This window comes from Homo sapiens, chromosome 10 (assembly GCF_000001405.40).
Source record: "Homo sapiens chromosome 10, GRCh38.p14 Primary Assembly".
Taxonomy (NCBI): domain Eukaryota; kingdom Metazoa; phylum Chordata; class Mammalia; order Primates; family Hominidae; genus Homo; species Homo sapiens.
This window is the reverse complement of record NC_000010.11, coordinates 42,803,527-42,822,239: the sequence shown is the minus strand read 5'-3', so window position 1 is coordinate 42,822,239 and position 18,713 is coordinate 42,803,527. Positions and strand designations below refer to the sequence as shown.

General features: G+C 41.1%; 1 protein-coding gene and 1 non-coding gene across 9 annotated transcripts in view, besides 1 other annotated feature; one reads left to right on the top strand and one right to left on the bottom strand.

The window, feature by feature from the left end:
- BMS1 (BMS1 ribosome biogenesis factor) overlaps window positions 1-18,713 on the bottom strand; it is a 52,143-nt gene that overhangs the window by 12,698 nt on the left and 20,732 nt on the right. For 4 of the 8 annotated variants that reach the window (XM_005271846.4, XM_011540402.3, NM_014753.4 and 1 more), the window contains exons 14-19: window positions 5,568-5,641; window positions 4,746-4,922; window positions 1,816-2,004; window positions 1,552-1,732; window positions 1,248-1,306; window positions 56-178 (exon numbers count right to left, since the gene is read on the bottom strand). In XM_005271846.4, the coding sequence (XP_005271903.1) occupies window positions 56-178; window positions 1,248-1,306; window positions 1,552-1,732; window positions 1,816-2,004; window positions 4,746-4,922; window positions 5,568-5,641 (803 nt within the window). Of the gene's footprint in view, window positions 1-55; window positions 179-1,247; window positions 1,307-1,551; window positions 1,733-1,815; window positions 2,045-4,745; window positions 4,923-5,567; window positions 5,642-18,713 lie in introns of those variants that run through there. The other 4 variants (XM_047426040.1, XM_047426042.1, XR_007062019.1 and 1 more) reach the window with 4 other exon arrangements.
- Window positions 4,778-5,701: an enhancer, noted in NCBI's record as "OCT4-NANOG-H3K27ac-H3K4me1 hESC enhancer chr10:43311987-43312910 (GRCh37/hg19 assembly coordinates)". NCBI's record gives its function as "activates a minimal SCP1, AML or CMV promoter by ChIP-STARR-seq in naive and primed H9 embryonic stem cells {active_cell/tissue: H9 hESC(naive and primed)}" and the evidence as "EXISTENCE:reporter gene assay evidence [ECO:0000049][PMID:30033119]".
- LOC124902575 (small nucleolar RNA U13) lies at window positions 11,910-12,013 on the top strand. The gene has a single exon (XR_007062408.1). It is a non-coding gene; the product is annotated as a small nucleolar RNA U13 (small nucleolar RNA).

Here is an 18,713-nt window from a genome sequence, read left to right as displayed (position 1 = left end):
CTTTTCTCAAACAATATGGACATTTATAAATATGAGAATATATAGATATACAGACCTTAATAAATGAAGTGTTCTTGAAAATTTTATATGGAAAACCAGTTAGCTTTAATTTCTTCACAATTTTTATGGATTTATCCAGATCAAGGACAACTCCTGTAGCAGCTATCCGAAAATCAGGCTAACAGGAACCCCAAAATTTGAAAATAGGAATAATATCAGCAAGAGAAAAACTTCAATTCTATGTGACACAATAAATTACCAAAGTGAATTTTACTTACAATTAGCTAAGAAAAACAAGAGAGACCATGTGAACTTGCAACCCAGTGGTTTGACAAAAGCAATCCAAAACTTTAAAGTTGGTAAGCCAAACTAACAAGGGTGACTTGAGGCCGAGCACAGTGGCTCATACCTGTAATCCCAGCACTTTGGGAGGCCAAGGCGGGTGGATCACCTGAGGTCAGAAGTTCAAGACCAGTCTGGCCAACATGGCAAAATCCCATCTCTACTAAAAATACAAAAATTAGCTCAGCATGATGGTGCACACCTGTAATCCCAGCTACTCAGGAAGCTAAGGCAGGAGAACCGCTTAAACCCAGGAGGCAGAGGTTGCAGTGAGCCAAGATCGTGCCACTGCACTCCAGCCTGGATGACAGAGTGAGACTCTGTCTCAAAAAAAAAAAAAAAAAAAAAAAAAAAAGGCGCCTTGAGTACTTTCCTGAGAGTGATTTCAGAGGAATGTAATTTCACTATAATGATTTATTTGGAATGAAATGGAAAAGAAAAATACAGTTGCAATGTTTAGGAAATTAAAATTTGGAACTCCAGGGCAGATTCCATCTGCTCATTATTCTGCTTTCTTCTCTGTTAAATGGGACCAATAAACCCTGCCCTGCCTGACTGGTCAAATGAAAATGGACTCCCTGCACGGCTGCAGGGAGTCTCTGATGGCTCCTCACAACCTCATATAGTGCTTAGCACATGGTGAGCACTGCTTAAGTACTTGCTTAGATAAATAAATGCAAAAGATGCACAAAAATAGGAAATGTACCATTATAATTCTTCCACCTCCCCTCCTCTAATCCCACACCCTACTGAAAACGATGTAGGAAGATTAAAAGCAAAGGGAAATTTACTTTGTATTAATAAAAATGAGTAATTTTCAACTTAAAGTCTCATGTACATAATAACCCACACCCAGGATATATTTCTCAAACCAATCTGTAAAAGAAATCATCCAAGATAGTTACCATTATGCCACTGACAGACTGTATTGCCAAGAAACCAGTTCCCTGTGGAGTGATAGGGCCTTAAAGGAAAAGGAAAAAAAGAAATATAGCGAACCACAAATTTTAGATTCTAGTTTAACATACTGGATATGGACATTTAGATTTGGATATAGATTTACATATATACTCCAAACCACCTCCCCGCTCCCAGAAAAGAGAAAAATCTTAGGAGTGGAATTTTATGAAAGAAAAGCACAAAGCTATAATAACGCAGCCTGTAAGGTTTAATCTTGGCAACAGGCAAGTTATTGTAATCATATTTTACCCCAAAAGGCTGCTCCGCAATGCATGTGCTGTGGGGTATACTTTAGAAGCCTTTGTCTTCCATTGTGGTCTTCGATATAATACAGTGGGATGGTCTGAAACCTCCTCCACCCTACAGAAAATATGATTGGATCTCGGGACTTGAGGATTTTCTTATACCAGCGATGTTTCTTCAGACGCATCTGAGGGGACGAGAGGGTAAGATGATTGATGGAGGGGAAATCCACAGAGCCTCAGGCACCAAATATGTAGCAAAGGGACCCACCTGCACGTAGCCAACATTTCCCTCACTGTTGCCCAAGCCACCCAGGATAATGGGGTAATGGGGGTCAAAGTTCTGCACAAATTCACAGGGAACATTTTCAATCTCAATGCGGACGTACATCCCAGGTCGAAAACCCTCATACTGAACTCTGGCTTCATCATCTTGATCTTCAAATTCTGCGCGATTCAGCTGTACATGATGGGGAATAAAAAAACCTGTATGCTGTTATCTGTAATAAACATAAGATTAACATGAACAAATGAGCAATTTCTAAGTAAAGGAACTGTGGACAGAATTATGTAGGCTTTACCCTATTAAAAATACTACACATTTGGCCAGGTACAGTGGCTCACGCCTGTAATCCCAGCACTTTGGGAGGCCGAGGTGGGCAGATCACATGAGGTCAGGAGTTTGAAACCAGCCTCGCCAACATGGTGAAACCCCGTCTCTACTAAAAATACCAAAATCAGCTGGGCGTGGTGGTGCGTGCCTGTAGTCCCAGCTACTCAGGAGGCAGAGGTGAGAGAATTGCTTGAACCCGGGAGACGGAGGTTGCAGTGAGTCGAGATCGTGCCACTGCACTCCAGCCTGGGCAATAGAGCGAGATTCCATCTCAAAAAACAAAAAACCAAAAAAAAAGACCTACATATTTTACCTCTACAGTCTGCTCAGAATATGTCCCAACCGTTTTCTTCTCTCCTGCTCCAAGGGACAGCAAATGTAGATAACTGTGGAGCCCTGCATGCCCGAACACTGGAAACGTCCCCAGTCCACATCTTCTTTCTTTCCTTTCTGAACAATTCTTTCACACTTTTCCCTTGTCTTCAAACACCCACCACCACCCTCACCTTCACTCAGCTGATGGCTGTTTCCTGATTCACTCCAAAACCAAAAGAACCTCCACGGTCAGCCCTCTACCAGGGTTTCCTCCCATATCCAGCCTTATCAGAGCTCTGACCTGGCCCATAGGGGAGCTATGAGTGGCTATTTACATTAAAATTAATTACAATTACATAATATTTAAAATGCAGTTCCTCAATCACACTAGTCACACTGGAAGTGGTCCATATCAACCTGCGGCCAGTGTTACAATATTGGGAAGCACTGACGTGCATCTCGATGATCACAGAAAGTTCTACAGGCAGCTCAGGCACAGAATATTTGTCCATGCCTCTACTCAGGGCCACACATCACTTGCTCACTAGACACCATCCACTCTTCCTGGACTTTATTCCAACAGCTCTTCCCTCTGTTCTCTCTCTTATCTCAAAACCTTTTGATTCCACTTCTTCCACCAACAACGGCTTCATTTCTCTGCTTCTCTCTGCAGCAAAACCCCACAAAAGTTTTCTGCAGTTGCAGCCTCCAGTTCCTCTGCTCCCATTCTCCTACATCCATGAAAATTGGTGCTTGCCAAGATTGCTGAAGGCCTCCACGCTGAAGGACTCCTCCAGTGGTGAACTCTGCCTTCACCGTAGTTAACATGGCAGCAGGATCTGAACAATGCTTCGCCTCCATGTACAACTGGCCTCCTGTGTGCCTGCATGCTCACACTGCTTCTCCCTCCTAGGCACTGCTCAGGACTCACGGCCACAATCGCCCCATCTCGCCCATGCCAGTCTTGCTCCTCCCACTCACTCTGCACTCACTCCCGGCCACCTCACAGCGTTAAGTGGCATCTACATGCTGAGGGCATCTACATCTAAGTCCCTGGCCAGACCTCTCTCCAGACCTGACATTTCACTTGTCTGCATGATACCCAGCCGAACCAAACATCATCTTCCCAAAACTGCATCTGCAGAGGGTTTCCTATCTAACTTACAACAACCCGTCCTTCCAGGAACTTCCAGTCGACATCCTCATTTCCTCTCACACACCCCACATTCAGTCCACCAGGAAATCCTACTGACCCAGCTTCCAAATAAAGTCTATCCGGGTTTGACTCTTTCTCTCATCTCCACTGCCAGCCTTCTGGTTTGTGCCACCCGACTGATCTCTTGGCAGAGTGATCTGATTACCTCTCCTCTGCTCAAAACCCTCCAAGGACTCCCATTTCAGAGTGAAACATTCAGTCTTTTCCAATGGCCCACAAGGCTCTAGGTAATTTTAAATTGTAAATGGTGTGAAGCAAAAACTTCAGAGTTAGCCTAGTCATGCCTTTCAAAGGTCAACACAGACTAGCAACCACTAAGCTAATGCCTAATCAGGAAATAGTCCTTTGACTAGATGAAGACCTAGGATGAAACTCCGTTTCACAAATCATATACCTAATCTGTTCCAGCTTACACAGGCACTCCTGGCCTCACTAACAAGACGCAACTCAGATGCTCACCATCAACTGTACACACGTTTCTGTGTCTGTCTCCTTCAGAGTGAGATCACCGCCTCCAGCAACCTGCTCAGCATCCCCAGGCAGGAGGGCCACACCATCTCCCTTTATTTCTGCATCTGACCTTATACTCCACATGTCCTTCTGAACTCTGACCAGGATGAGTTTTCAGAGCACTTCCCCTGGGAGCTCTGGTGTGTCTATAAGCCACAGGGGCCACTGATCACCTGCCATTCAAATCAGGGAGCAGCGATTGGAATAGGCCGCCAATGCTTGCACTGAAATGAACACACTGTCTCAGATCACTACATTGTAAGACCATGTCTCAAAAGTAGAGACCATGTCTCAGTCATTTCTGTTTCCTAATTCTTGTTACAAAATAGGTATGGATCTTTTTCTGGTGACCCTCTGACTGCAGAAACAATGAGCTCACTGCATGAATAAACACACTCACATGCATCTCTACCCAGGAGTCCGAATGAAAGGCACAGAAGCAGGATACACAGAAGCAGGATAGGACGTAGGGACCCAAACAAAGTCAGGGATTCCTGCGCTATATGATAGTCTTGACAAGGGGCTGAGAGGAACTGAGGTTTCTCACCTGTGCTTGTTTCTGCATTTCTCCTTTAAGATCATCAAAATATGTGCTTTCTCCTTCATCATATTCTGCATCAAACATCTCCTTCAATTTTCTCTTCTTATCCAAATGCTTTTTCTTGGCACTTTCTTCTTCGTCGGGGTCAATTTCTTCCTTAACTTCTTTCTCTATATCTTCATTCTTAAATTTCCAGAAGAAAAAATTTTGTGTATGTTTATGAAGGTCTTTTCTTTAAACATTAGCTTTTTTAAAGTTCTATTTAAACAAGAATCTTAGCAAAAATCTGTTATCATTATCAATAAAACAAAAGAAAACACAACACAACCTTTGTCTCTGAATAACATGGTACTGCTACAGGAAATGGTTACATCTGCATTACAATTAGCTGCTAATCCTTAAGCTGGCTGGGAACACAAACTAGAATAAAAATAACAGACGTGTCCCTCACCCAGATGCTCCCAGACCCTGTTCTAAAGAAATACTAGGGAGAACAGGGACTTCATTCTTTTAAATGACACTTAAATTTAAAAAAAGGAGAATGATGCCAATGGTTGAATGTAAGTCCAAGAAGCTAAGACTTCCGTGAGTGAAAAATCACAGTGGACTTGGCAAATGACTATGGCAAGAAACGGTAGTAACTGTCATCCAAAACTTAACAAGTAAACAAGAAAGCTTCTCTTTGGTCCCCACATCCCCACCCTTTAGGAAGGAATCTATCTATCCAGTCTGCAATCTTCACACATCACAAGTAAGATTTGCATTTCTCAATGTGGGCCTCTCTCAGAACACAATGACCAAGAACAGCCAGCTACGACAAAGTCATACCTGAGTATTGGGGCCTGATTTTCCCTTGTGCACGTCCCCTGTTTCCAAGTCTTCAAAGTCACCGTAGAGCTCCTCTGGGAAAAGAACACCCAAAGGCTGCTCTGTGAGCCAGGTATGCATGTGCTGCTGGCCCCACCTACCACAGGCCCACAGTGTGCTCTGCGTTCCAAGCCTCATTCTCACTGTTCCTGTCACTACACACACAGGCAAAACTTTGCACTAGGGAATGCTTTGTAAAACAGTTAGTATTTCATCATCTGTTTAGGTAAACTAAATGGACCCAATCCACATTTCCGCACTTCACATCAAAATCCCAATCTCAATTTTTCCAGTATACACAATGGACACTCTTTTGTTTTTGTTTTTTATTTTTGGAGACAGAGTCTCACTCTGTCACCCAAGCTGGAGTGCAGTGGCATGATCTCAGCTCACTGCAACCTCCGCCTCCCGGGTTCAAGCAATTCTACTGCCTCAGTCTCCCGAGTAGCTGGGATTATAGGCACCCGCCACCAAGCCTGGCTAATTTTTGTATTTTTAGTAAAGATGGGATTTCACCAATTGGCCAGGCTGGTCTCGAACTCCTGACCTCGTGATCTGCCCTCCTCAGCCTCCCAAAGTGCTGGGATTACAGCCATGAGCCACTGCACCTGGCCAATGGACACTCTTTATGAAAGACACAGAGGTCTATGTGTGTCCCCCAAACGAATAGTTCAAGGAATGAATAGAAAAGCTCCACGCTGATACCAGCACATGTGAAAAGGAGTCTCAATGTAAGTTCAACACAACACAATCGTGTAACACACCTAGGGGAAATTTTAGGTTATATAAAACATAGCATTTAGATTAAGAGTAGAGCCCCAAACCACACCAAACCCATGGGAAGAGCTTATTCACTCATTCATTCCTTCATTTGTTTTTGGAGCTCTGGGCTCAATTATAGTTCCCACTCTTAAAAGAAACAGACAAGTAAGGCTGGGTGCAGTGGCTCACGCCTGTAAACCCAGCACTTTGGGGGCCCGGGAGGCAGACGTTGCAGTGAGCCATAATTGCATCACTGAACTCCAGCCTGGGTGACAGAGTGAGACCCTGTCTCAAAAAAAGGAAAATAAAAGAAATAGGCAAGTTAAAACTCATTTGGGAGAGCAATGTTTAGAAGGCTATTAAAACATTTTCACATAAGGGCCAAAGAACCAGGTAGAAGTTATAATAGATAGGAAGCTCCTATTTGTAATAAAAGCAAAAAAGGATAAAATAGGAATAAACCTAACAAGAAATGCACCAGAACTTTATTTTTTTAAAAAAGAAGAAAAGCTTTAATATGCTACCAAAGGACAAAAGGAATAGCATCACCACCAACACTCATCGGTGCTCTCCACACCAGGCACTGTGTTAAGTACTTTCCTTGCCTTAACCACATTCTTCAACCCAAGGAAGTAGGTGTTGTAAATATTATCTACTGAATAATGATATGTCCTCATTTGAAAAGAAAGACTCAACATCAAAAATACGCCAATTCTCCCTTTAGCACAGTTACAACCTGAAACCACCATTAAGGATTTCTGGTCTAGAGAAGATAACACATTATACCCTCCTAAGAAATAATAGACAGGAGATGATCAAAGGAGAATTCTGAAAGGTGGAAAGAAAAAGGCTGCTGAGGGACTCTAGGACTAGGGAATGCATAGTGGCCAGGTGTCTCCCTGGACCTCATCCAATAGGAAGTTGACCAGGCCCAGAGTTTCCCAACTCCCAACGTAGCAATAGAAGGCAACCCAGGCAGACTCAGTCCCCCCAGATCAAAGGAAATCTTCCCCATAACAAGAAAACCAGCTCCACACACCAAGACAACCACCACTCCCCACCCACCTAGCTGCAGCAGGTGGCCCAGCCTGGGGCAGCTCCCCTGTTCCCTCAGGTGGGCAACAGCAGGGACTGGTGGGAGAATCCCAGTGATACATATAAGCCAAACAGACCAAAATAACACCATGAAGGCTCTGAAATTAAATTGCCATTGGAATCACAGCCCACAAAGTAGACCAGGACCTACAGACTAAACCCAAATAGGAGGACTGCCTGCAAAAATAAAAAAATTACATAGGCAGATGTTGGAACCATCTGACTCATCACTTATAACAGTCAGCATAAATATGCTTCAACAAGCAACTACAAATCCTATGGCAACAAACAAAGAACTGAAAACGTCAGCAAAGAAACTGAAGAAGAATCAAATGGAAATTACAGAAATATAAAATACAGTAACAGAAATTAAAAAAAAATCTATCTAGATGGGCTCTATTGAGTAAAAGTGGAGACGACAGAGGAGAGAATCAGAGAAGCTGAAACCTGTATCAACAGAATTCACCCAGTCTAAACAATAGAGAGAAAATAACCTGAAAACAAATGAACAGAGCTGCACGGACCTGTGGGACAATAACAAAAGACCCCGCATTTATGTTATCTGAGTCCCACAGGAGACCAGAGCTGCAAAAGCATGCAAATAACTAATTCCTGACGCTTCCCACATTTAGTGAAAGATATAAACTTACAGATTCAAGAAGCTGAGCAAACCTCAAAGTATAACAAAAGAAAGCAACACTGATTAAACTTTCAAAACTAAAAACAAAGACCAAAAATGGCAGAATGCCTGTAGGGACATGCCAACTCAAATGCCATGGAGGCCAGAAGGAAGTGGCACAACATTTTCAAGTGCTTAAAAAAAACCAACCAAAGAAACAAACAAAAAAACCAAACCAACAAACAAAAAAACTGTTGGTTGCAAATTCTATATCCCATGAAACTACCCTTCAGAAATGAAGAGAGAAATAAAGACATTATCAGAGGAAGAGAATATAGGAATTTGTCTCTGGTAAATTTAGAAATGCTAAAAAGTGGCTACAGAAATATGTTCTGTCATTTCCACAATACAAAAAATTAAAACAAAAAAATCAAAATAAAAAAATGGCTACAGAAAGTTCTTATGCAGAAGGGATGAATATGGGACTATGGGAGGAGGGACAAAGGAAAGACCAGAAATGTGGATACATACACGAGACAATCCGCAGTTCTTAAAATCACACTTGACAACTGAAACAAAAACTATACCACCACCTAATACTCAAGCCAGTGATTCATACAAGCGGAAAAGGTAAAGAGACATAAATGCAAGGCAGGTTTCCACACTTTGAAGTGGTAAATACTGGTACCAGTAGACTACTATATTACAATATGCATATTGTAACATCCAGAGCAAACACTTCAAGACTATACAAAGAGATACACGCAACAACATTATACAGAAATAGATCAAGATGGAGGGAAAGAAAAAGGAAACAAAAAAGCAAATAATAAAAACATCAGACATAAGCAATTATGTAACAATAAGCACCTTAAATGTAAATGGTCTAAATAAACCAAAAGACGGATGGATGGAGAGCCTATAATAAACACATGGCCCAACTAAATACTGTTCATAAGAAACTTCAAACTCACTTAAGGACCTAAGTAGGCTGAAAGTAAAAGAATGGAGAAAGATATCCTATGTAATCATTAATTTTTTAAGGAAGCAGGAGTGAATATATTAATATCTCATGAAGTAGACTTCAAGCAAAATAATTTACCAGAGCTGGAGAGGGTCTTCGCTGAATTTTAAGATCTAAAATTTCCTATGCTGCCTGGACATCTTTGAGCCTCACAGGGCCCCAAAGGCCTAGCCGTGGGTTTTCCTGTTTCTACCAGACACCCCCTACCCCGCCACCCAGCAGCAAAGGCTCCCCACCTGGCTAGTTCTTTTATCAGCCAGAACGGTTGCACCTCAGCCTAAGAAGTTTCACTTCACCTGTCTGCCAGCCCATGAATTTATTCAAACAAGCCAATTGCATTCCCCCTCAGGAACCATTGGTCATTGTGTGCTCTTGTTACTACCAAGCCTGCCTCCTTCCTCAGCCCCCAGCCCTCACTCCACTACAGAGTATGGTGCCCATCTGACCCTGCGTGGCATGCAGTGTCCTCCTCTGAGCTGTGGGTATATGTGACTAAAACACTGCTGTCAGTCTCATCCATCCACGCCAGGTGTCGTGTTCAGCCATCTCCTACACTTTAGGGCAGGGACCCCTCCTTCACCAATGGGGTGAAAAGGAAGTGACCGTAACATCTGCTTAATGACAAAAGGATTAACCCACCAAGAAGACATCTACTTCAACACCCTCCTCTCAGCAACTGTTAAAACTAGGCGGAGGCCGGGCACAGTGGCTCATGCCTGTAATCCCAGCACTCTGGGAGGCAAAGACAAAGGATAGCTTGAGGCCAGGAGTTCCAGCCTGGGCAACATAGCAAGGCTTTGTCTCTCCAAAAAATTTTGAATTTAGCCAAGTGTGGCGGCACACACCTATAGTACCAGCTATTCAGGAGGTTAAGCCAGGATAACTGCTTGAGCCTAGGAGGTCAAGGCTGCAGTGAGTCATGTTCATGCCACCGCACTCTAGCGTAAGTGACAGAGTGAAACTAGGCAGAAAAGGAGCAAGGATTTACAAAAGATCTGAACAGTGAGCCAGCAAAATCTGACATCCGTATAACACCCTACTCTCCAACAGCAAAATACACACATTTTTAAAGTCAATAGAAATCTACCAAGATGAAGTACATTTGGGGCAATAAAAGAAATCACAGCAAATCTAAAATAATTCAACTCATAAGAATATGTTCTCAGAACATAATATAATCAAGCTAGAAATCTATAACAGAAAAACAGGAAACTCTCTAAATACTTGATAATTAAAACAACATATTTATAAATAATGCATGGGCCAAAAAGAAGTCCCAAAGGAAATATGAATGAAAATACAACACGTGAGGCCGGGCGCGGTGGCTCACGCCTGTAATCCCAGCACTTTGGGAGGCCGAGGCGGGCGGATCACGAGGTCAGGAGATCGAGACCATCCCGGCTAAAACGGTGAAACCCCGTCTCTACTAAAAATACAAAAAATTAGCCGGGCGTAGTGGCGGGCGCCTGTAGTCCCAGCTACTTGGGAGGCTGAGGCAGGAGAATGGCGTGAACCCAGGAGGCGGAGCTTGCAGTGAGCCGAGATCCCGCCACTGCACTCCAGCCTGGGCGACAGAGCGAGACTCCGTCTCAAAAAAAAAAAAAAAAGAAAAAGAAAATACAACACGTGAACATTTGTGGGGTACAGCTCAGCAGTACTGAGAAGGAAATTTAAACACTAAATGCTCACATTAGAAATGAGAAAAGATAAACCAATAACCTAAGAAATTTCAAAAAGAACAAAATAAACCCCAAACAAGCAGAAGAATAGAAATAATAAGGGGCAGAAATTGGCCGGATGTGGTGGCTCATGCCTGTATTCCCAGCACTTTGGGAGGCCAAGGCAGGTGGATCAACTGAGGTTGGGAGCTTGAGAACAGCCTGACCAACAGGGAGAAACCCTGTCTCTACTAAAAATACAAAAAATTAGCTGTGCGTGGGGGTGCATGCCTGTAATCCCAGCTACTTGGGAAGCTGAGGCAGGAGAATCACTTGAACCCGGAGGTGGAGGTTGCGGGGAGCCAAGAACGTGCCACTGCACTCCAGCCTGGGCAAGAAGAGTGAAACTCAGTCTCAAAAAAAAAATAATAATAATAAATAAAGGGCAGAAATCAATAACATTGAAAGCAGAAAAACAGAGAAAATCAATGAAACAAAAAGCTGGTCATTTGAATAGAATCAACAAAATTAATAAATTTTACGACAAAGATAAAAACAGAGAAGACACAAACCAACAACATCACGAATAAAACAGGGGTTATCAAAAAGGCTCCTGCAGCCGTTAAAGAGTATTAAGCAAATACTCTAAACATCACCCTCAGACTACCCAAGCTGGTCTCTTCAAGAAGGCACTCAGTGCAACTTCCACTTCCCTAACAAGACTTGAAACACCTTGAAAATCATAAACTACCAAAATTCAGGCAAGATGAAATAGATAATCTGAATCGTCCTATAACCATTAAAGAAATAAAATTTGTAATTAAGAGCTTCTGGAATAAGAAATCTCCAGGCCCAGATGATTTCACTGGAGAATTACACCAAATATTTAAAGAATTCATCCCAATTCTATACAAACTCTTCCAGAAAACAGAATAGGGGACACTTTGCAACTCATTTTATGAGGCTAGTATTATCCCAATGCCAAAACCAGATGAAGACAGTACCACCACAAAAAGAAAAAACAAAACAAAACAAAAAAACTCACAGACCAGTATCTCTCATGAATGCAAAAAGTCCTCAACAAAGTACTATAAATGGAATCCAACAACACATAAAAAGATTTGTATAAAAATTTTCACATGGTGATCTTTTCGTAGTTCATAAGTGTGATGACTGGGTATTCATGCATGTATGTGGGATATGCCACCCTTGACCCTTGTTACAACATTAGCACATTAACCATCTGACATGAAAGGAAAAAACAAAACAAAAAAACACACACATTTCCATATGTTGTATTTTCATTTTCATTCATGATCAAGTGAGAGTTATTCCAGGTATGCAAGTCTGCTTCAACATTCAAAAAATGAATCAGGCCAGGTGCGGTGGCTCCTGCCTGTAAACCTAACGCTTGGGAGGCTGAAGTGGGAGGATCCCTTGAAGCCAAGAGTTCCCTTGAAGCCAAGACCAGCCTGGGCAACACAGTAAGACCTGGCTCTACAAAAAAAAAAAAAAAAAAAAAATTAGCCAGACATGATAGCACACACTTGTAGTCCCAGCTACGTGGGAGGTGGAGGCAGGAGGATCACTGGAGCATAGGAGGTCGATGCTGTGGTGAGCCATGATCGCACCACTGCACTCCAGCCTGGGTGACAGAGGAAGACCATGTCTCAAAAAATAAAAGGATCAGTGTAATCTATATCAAAAGAGTAAAGAATGAAACCCATATCCAGATGATCATATCAACTGACACCAAAAGGCATTAGACAAAATTCAACATCCAATCATGTTAGTAAATAAATAACAGTGACAAGATTGGGAACAACATAGGAAGTCCACTCTCAGCACTCTTACTCCACATTGTACTAAAAGTCTAGTCACTGAATTAAGGCAGAAAATTTTAAAACAGAAAGAAGGCCAGGCATGGTCGCTCACGCCTATAATCCCAGCACTCTGGGAGGCTGAGGCAGGCAGATCACTGGCATTCAGGAGTTTGAGACCAGCCTGAGCAACATAGTGAGACCCCATCACTACCCCTAAAAAATTTAATTAAAAAAAAAAGAAGGAAAAGCCATACAGGTTGAAAAGAAAGAAATAACACTGTCTCTATGTTTTCTACACAACTGTCTGTGTAGACAATCCCAGGCAATCTACAAAGACAAAACAAAACAAAACCCTCCTACAACTAATAAGTGAGTTTAGCAGGACAAAAGAGAAACAAATGAAAATCAATCAAAATCAAATACTTAGGTCTAAACTTATCAAAACATATTCCCAACTGGTATGCTGAAAATCATAATACTGATGAAAGAAATAAAAACTAAAATAAATAAATATACTGTGTTCATCTATTTTAATACTCAAAATAGAAAAAGATTATCCCCCCAAACTGATCTATAGGTTTAATGCAATCCCTACCAAAATCCCAGGTAAGTTGTTGTAGACATAAACAAGTTTATTCTAAAATTTATAGGGAAAGTCACAAGCCTTGGGATAGCTTAACCAATCTTGAAAAACAAGAATAAAGTAAGAGGAGTCACTCTACTCAACATTAACACTCACTATAAAGCTACAGGAACGTAGACAGCAAGGGTGGTACTGGCCAAGGGATTGACATGTGAAGTCAATAGAACACAAGAGAACCCAGAAACAGATTCACAGAAAGATGCTCAACTAATGTTTTACAAAAGTCAAAAGCAATTCAATAAAATAAGTGGTGCTAGAAAAATTATACAATTGCAGGCGAAAATATAAACCTTGAGCTAAGCCTCATATCTCATAAAATGAAAAAATCAAAATAGATCATGGGTGTAAAGAGAAAACAAAAAATACTATAAAAAACTGGTAAATCGGATTTCATCAAAAATAAAAACTTTTGGCCCGACACGGTGGCTCACGCCTGTAATCCCAGCACTTTGGGAGGCCAAGTAAGGCGGATCACGAGGTCAGGAGATGGAGACCATCCTGGCAAACACTGTGAAACCCCGTCTCTACTAAAAATACAAAAAAATTAGCCGGATGTGGTGGTGGGCGCCTGTAGTCCCAGCTACTCGGGAGGCTGAGGCAGGAGAATGGCATGAACCCGGGGGACAGAGCTTGCAGTGAGTGGAGATCGCGCCACTGCACTCCAGCCTGGGCAACAGAGAGAGACTCTGTCTCAAAAAACAAATAATAATAATAATAAATAAATAAATAAATAAATAAAAAATAAAAACTTCTGCTCTGTGAAAGGCCCCGTTAAGAAAATGAAAACTACAGATTAGGAGAAAGTATCTGCAAATCACACATCCGACGATGGAGTTAAACATATAATGAACTCACAGTACCCAACCCAACCCAATTTTTAAAAGTGCAAAAAAAAGACATCCCCAGACATTTTTTATCTGTATAGAAGATATAAAAATGCAAATAAACACATGAAAAAATGCTCACCATTATTAGCCACTGGGGAAGTATATCTTAAAACCACAATGAAATATCACATACCTATTAGAATAGCTAGAATAAACAACAGTGAGAACACCACACATTGTCAAGGATGTAAAGAAACTGGATCACTCACATAATTGCTAGTAGAAACATCAAATGGCCCAACTACTCTGGCAGTCTCCTATGAAACTGTGCAATTACCATATGACCCAGCAATTGCATTATTGGGCATTTATTTCCCAGAAAAATGGGAAGTGCATATTTACACAAAAACTTCTATACAAGTGTTCATAGTAGCTCAATTCTAATAGTCAAAAATTGAAAACAGGCCAGGAGTTCAAGATCAGCCTGAGCAACACAGCAAGATCCTGTCTCTACAAAACAAACAAACAAACAAATAAAAAAATATTAGCCAGGCACGGTGGTGCATGCCTGTAGTCCCAGCTCCTTGGGGGTGCTGATGTGGGAAGATCACTTGAGCCTAGGAGGTCGAGGCTGCAGTGAGCCAATATCACACCACTGCACCCCAGACTGGGCATCAGAGCAAGACCCTGTCTGAAAACAAAACAAAACAAAACAAACTGTAAACAACCCAGCTTGATCTTGGATGAATGGTTAAACAAACCGGTACATCCATACAATGGAGCACTACTCAGCAATAAAAAGGAATGACCTATGGTATATGCACCAACTTGAATGGATCTCCAGGAAATTATGCTGAGTGAAAAAAGCCCCTCACAAAAGTTTATAGACTGTATGATTCTGTTTATTTAACATTCTTGAAGATGACAAAATTGTAGAAACAGAAAACACATTATGGTTCACAAGGGAAGGAACTGGGGGCTGGGGAACAGCAGGGACGTGGGTGTGTTTATAAAACAGCAATACAAGCAATCCTTGTGATGGAACTGCTCCGTATCTTAACTGTTGGTAGACACACAAACCTACACATGTGATAAAAGAGCACAGAAGTATAGACACACACACACGTAAAACACACACACACACACATAAGTGAAACTGGAGAAATCTACATAGGATCAACAGATTGTATCAATGTTGGCATCCAGGCTGTGACCTTGTATTACAGTACACATAGTATACATAGTACATATATACACAGATACTGCTATAGTACAAGATACAGGAGATCTCTCTGTATTCGTTCTTTTTTTTTCTCTGTATTTGTTCTTACACGTGCATGTCAATCTACAATTACCTCAAACTTAAAAGTTTAATTAGGAAAAAACACACCACAAACTTTTCTTTTGGAAATAGAAAAGGTGATTTTTTTTTTTTTTTTTTTTTTCCTGAGACGGAGTCTCGTGCTGTCGCCCAGGCTGGAGTACAGTGGCGCGATCTCAGCTTACTGCAACCTCTGCCTTCCGGGTTCAAGCAATTCTCCTGCCTCAGCCTCCTGAGTAGCTAGGATTACGGGCGTGTGCCACCACGCTTGGCTAATTTTTGTATTTTTAGTAGAGACGGGGTTTCACCATGTTGGCCAGGCTGGTCTCAAACTCCTGACCTCGTGATCCGCCCGCCTCAGCCTCCCAAAGTGCTAGGATTATAGGCGTCAGCCACTGTGCCCAGCCAGAAAGGTGATTCTTAAGTTCACTTGGAAAATAAGCAAAATCAGGACAAAGCAAGGTTGTTTACTTTGACTTCTAATCCACACTGTCCTGGAAGTTTAAACCAGGGCAGTAAGGCAAGAAAAATTAAGTCATCCAGATAGGAAAGAAAGAAAGTAAAACCACTGGGATCTATCTCAGCCTTTCTGTAGATAGTTTCCTGCTTGGCTCCCAGAACCATCCTGCACAGAAACTGGGGGAACCATATGAGATTGGACCAAGGTGAAAGGTCAAAGCAGAATTGGAAGCCCAGGCTTTATTGTGCAGAACAGGAGAAAAAGCAGCATAAAAGAAAAAGAATCCTTGGGATAGTAAGAAGTATTTACTTAGAAAACCATGAATACTGTTTAGTCAAAGTTTACCCCTCCCCTCCAAACACACACTTGAGGTCAGGAGTTTGAGACTAGCCTGGCCAACCTGGTGAAACCCCATTTCTACTAAAAATAAAAAAACTAGCCAGGCGTGATAATGGCTGCCTGTAATCTCAGCTACTCACGAGGCTGGGGCATGAGAATTGCTTGAACCTGGAAGGCAGAGGCTGCAGTGAGCTGAGATCAAGCCACTGCACTCCAGCCTGGGTGACAGAGCGAGACTCTGTCTCAAAAACAGAACTAACAAGTAATTTAGCAAGATTGCAGGATATAAGATCAATTAAAAAAAAAATCAACTGCATTTCTTATATATTAGCCATACATAAATACAAGTTGATATGAAAATAAACTGTTGAGAGTTGTATAAGACCTGTATCCTGAAAACCTTGCTGAGAGAAATTAAAGAACAAGATAAATGGAGAGTTACTATGTTCATAGATCAGAAAACTCAATGTGGTTAAGATGGCAATTTTCCCAAATTGTTTACAAGTTCCATGAAATCCCAATCAAAATTGCAGTGGGCTTTTTTATAGCAATTGACATGCTCATCTTAAAATTTATATGAAAATGCAAAGAACCTAGATTAACCAAAACAACTTTGAAAAGGAGACTAAAGTTTGAAAAACTACCTAAAGTTAAAAACTACTTAATTCCAAGACTAATTATAAAGCTGTAAGTAACAGAGACAGTGTTGGTATTGGTACAAAAATAAACAAATATATCAATGGAACAGAACAGAGAGCCCAGAAATATTCACCCATATATGGCCAACCAATACAGGGCAATTCAACGGGGAAAAAAATAGATTTTCAGCAGATGGTGCAGGGAAAAGTAGATATCAATATGTCAAAAGGAACCTAAATCCATACCCAACACTCTATAAAAAATTAACTCAAAAAGAATTATAGACCTAAACGTAAAACCTGAAACTGTAAGACTTACAGAATATATGAGACAATTTGTGACATTGGGTGAGGCAAAGATTTCTTACATGCACTATGAAAAGCACAGTCCATAAGAGAAAATTTTGGGCAGGGCACAGTGGCTCATGCCTGTAATCCCAGCACTTTGGGAGGCTGAGGCGGATGGATCACCTGAGGTCAGGAGTTCAAGACCAGCCTGACCAACATGGCGAAACCCCATCTCTACTAAAAACACAAAAATTAGGCAGGCGTGGTGGCGGGCGCCTGTAATCCCAGTTACTCAGGAGGCTGAGGCAGGAGAATGGCTTGAACCCAGGGGGCAGGGGTTGCAGTGAGCCGAGATCACATCGCACTCTGGGAGACAGAGCAAGACTCCATCCCAAAAAAAAAAAAATTTTTTTTTGATAAATTGACCTACACCAGAACTAAATACTTTGCTCTGTGAAAAACACTATTAAAAATAGAAAAGACAAGGCACACGCTAGGCAAAAATAATTGGATAACACATGTGATACAGAATTTGTATCAAAAATACACAAAATTTCTTAGAATTCAACAAAATTAAAATAATGTACAAAAGATTTGGACAGATATTTCATCAAAGAAGACACAGACGGCAAATAAGCACATGAAAAAATGTTCGATACCATTAGTCACTAAAACTACAAGATACCACTCTATGCCTAAAAGAAGGCCTACAATTTAAAAAGACTGATACTATCAGGTACTGGGAAAGATGTAGAGTGAAGCAACCGGAAGTTGCATAAAGTTATGGTGGCAATGGAAAATGGTATAAACACTTTGGAAAACAGTTGGGTAATTTCTTAAAAAATTAAATGTGTACCTATCATATGACCCATTTAGTCCATTCTGAACTACTTATTTACCCAAAAGAAATAAAAGCGGTGGTTCACATAAAGACTTCTAAAAAACATTCATAGCAGCTTTACTCATAATAGCCAAAACCTGGAAATAATTGTTTATCAACAGGTTAACAGATAAATAAATTGCTATACATCATACAATGGACTACCCACTAGCCAACAAAAAGAAATGAAGATGCAACAGCATGGATGAATCTTGAAATAATCATGCTGAGTAAAAGAAGTTAGACAGAAAAGAGTACATATTGTAGGATCCCATTTCAATTAAATTCTAAAGGGCACAACCTACTGAATAGTGACACAAGGCAGCTGAATGTACCTGGTGATGGAAGAGGACAAGATGGAGAGTTACAAAGTGGTGTAAGAAAACTGTGGGGGTGACAAATGTGTTCATTATTTTGATTGTGGTGATGGTATATTCACATATCAAAGCTTATCAAATTGTATACTTTAAATACTGTAGTTTACCATCAATTATACCTCACTGAAGTGATTAAAAAAGAAACCCACCACACTTTCTTTTGAAAACAGAAAAGCCGATTCTTAAGTTCCTATGGAAAAAACAATAAGCAAGTGAGAAGGTGAGAATAGTCAGGAGAATCCTAAAAGAAGCCCCCCAGCAGAACAAAAAGGGAAACTGTTGAGACACGGTTTTAATAACTGGTATCTTAGTAACGTGATAAAGCTGCATAGAGTACTAAATTATAGTAATAA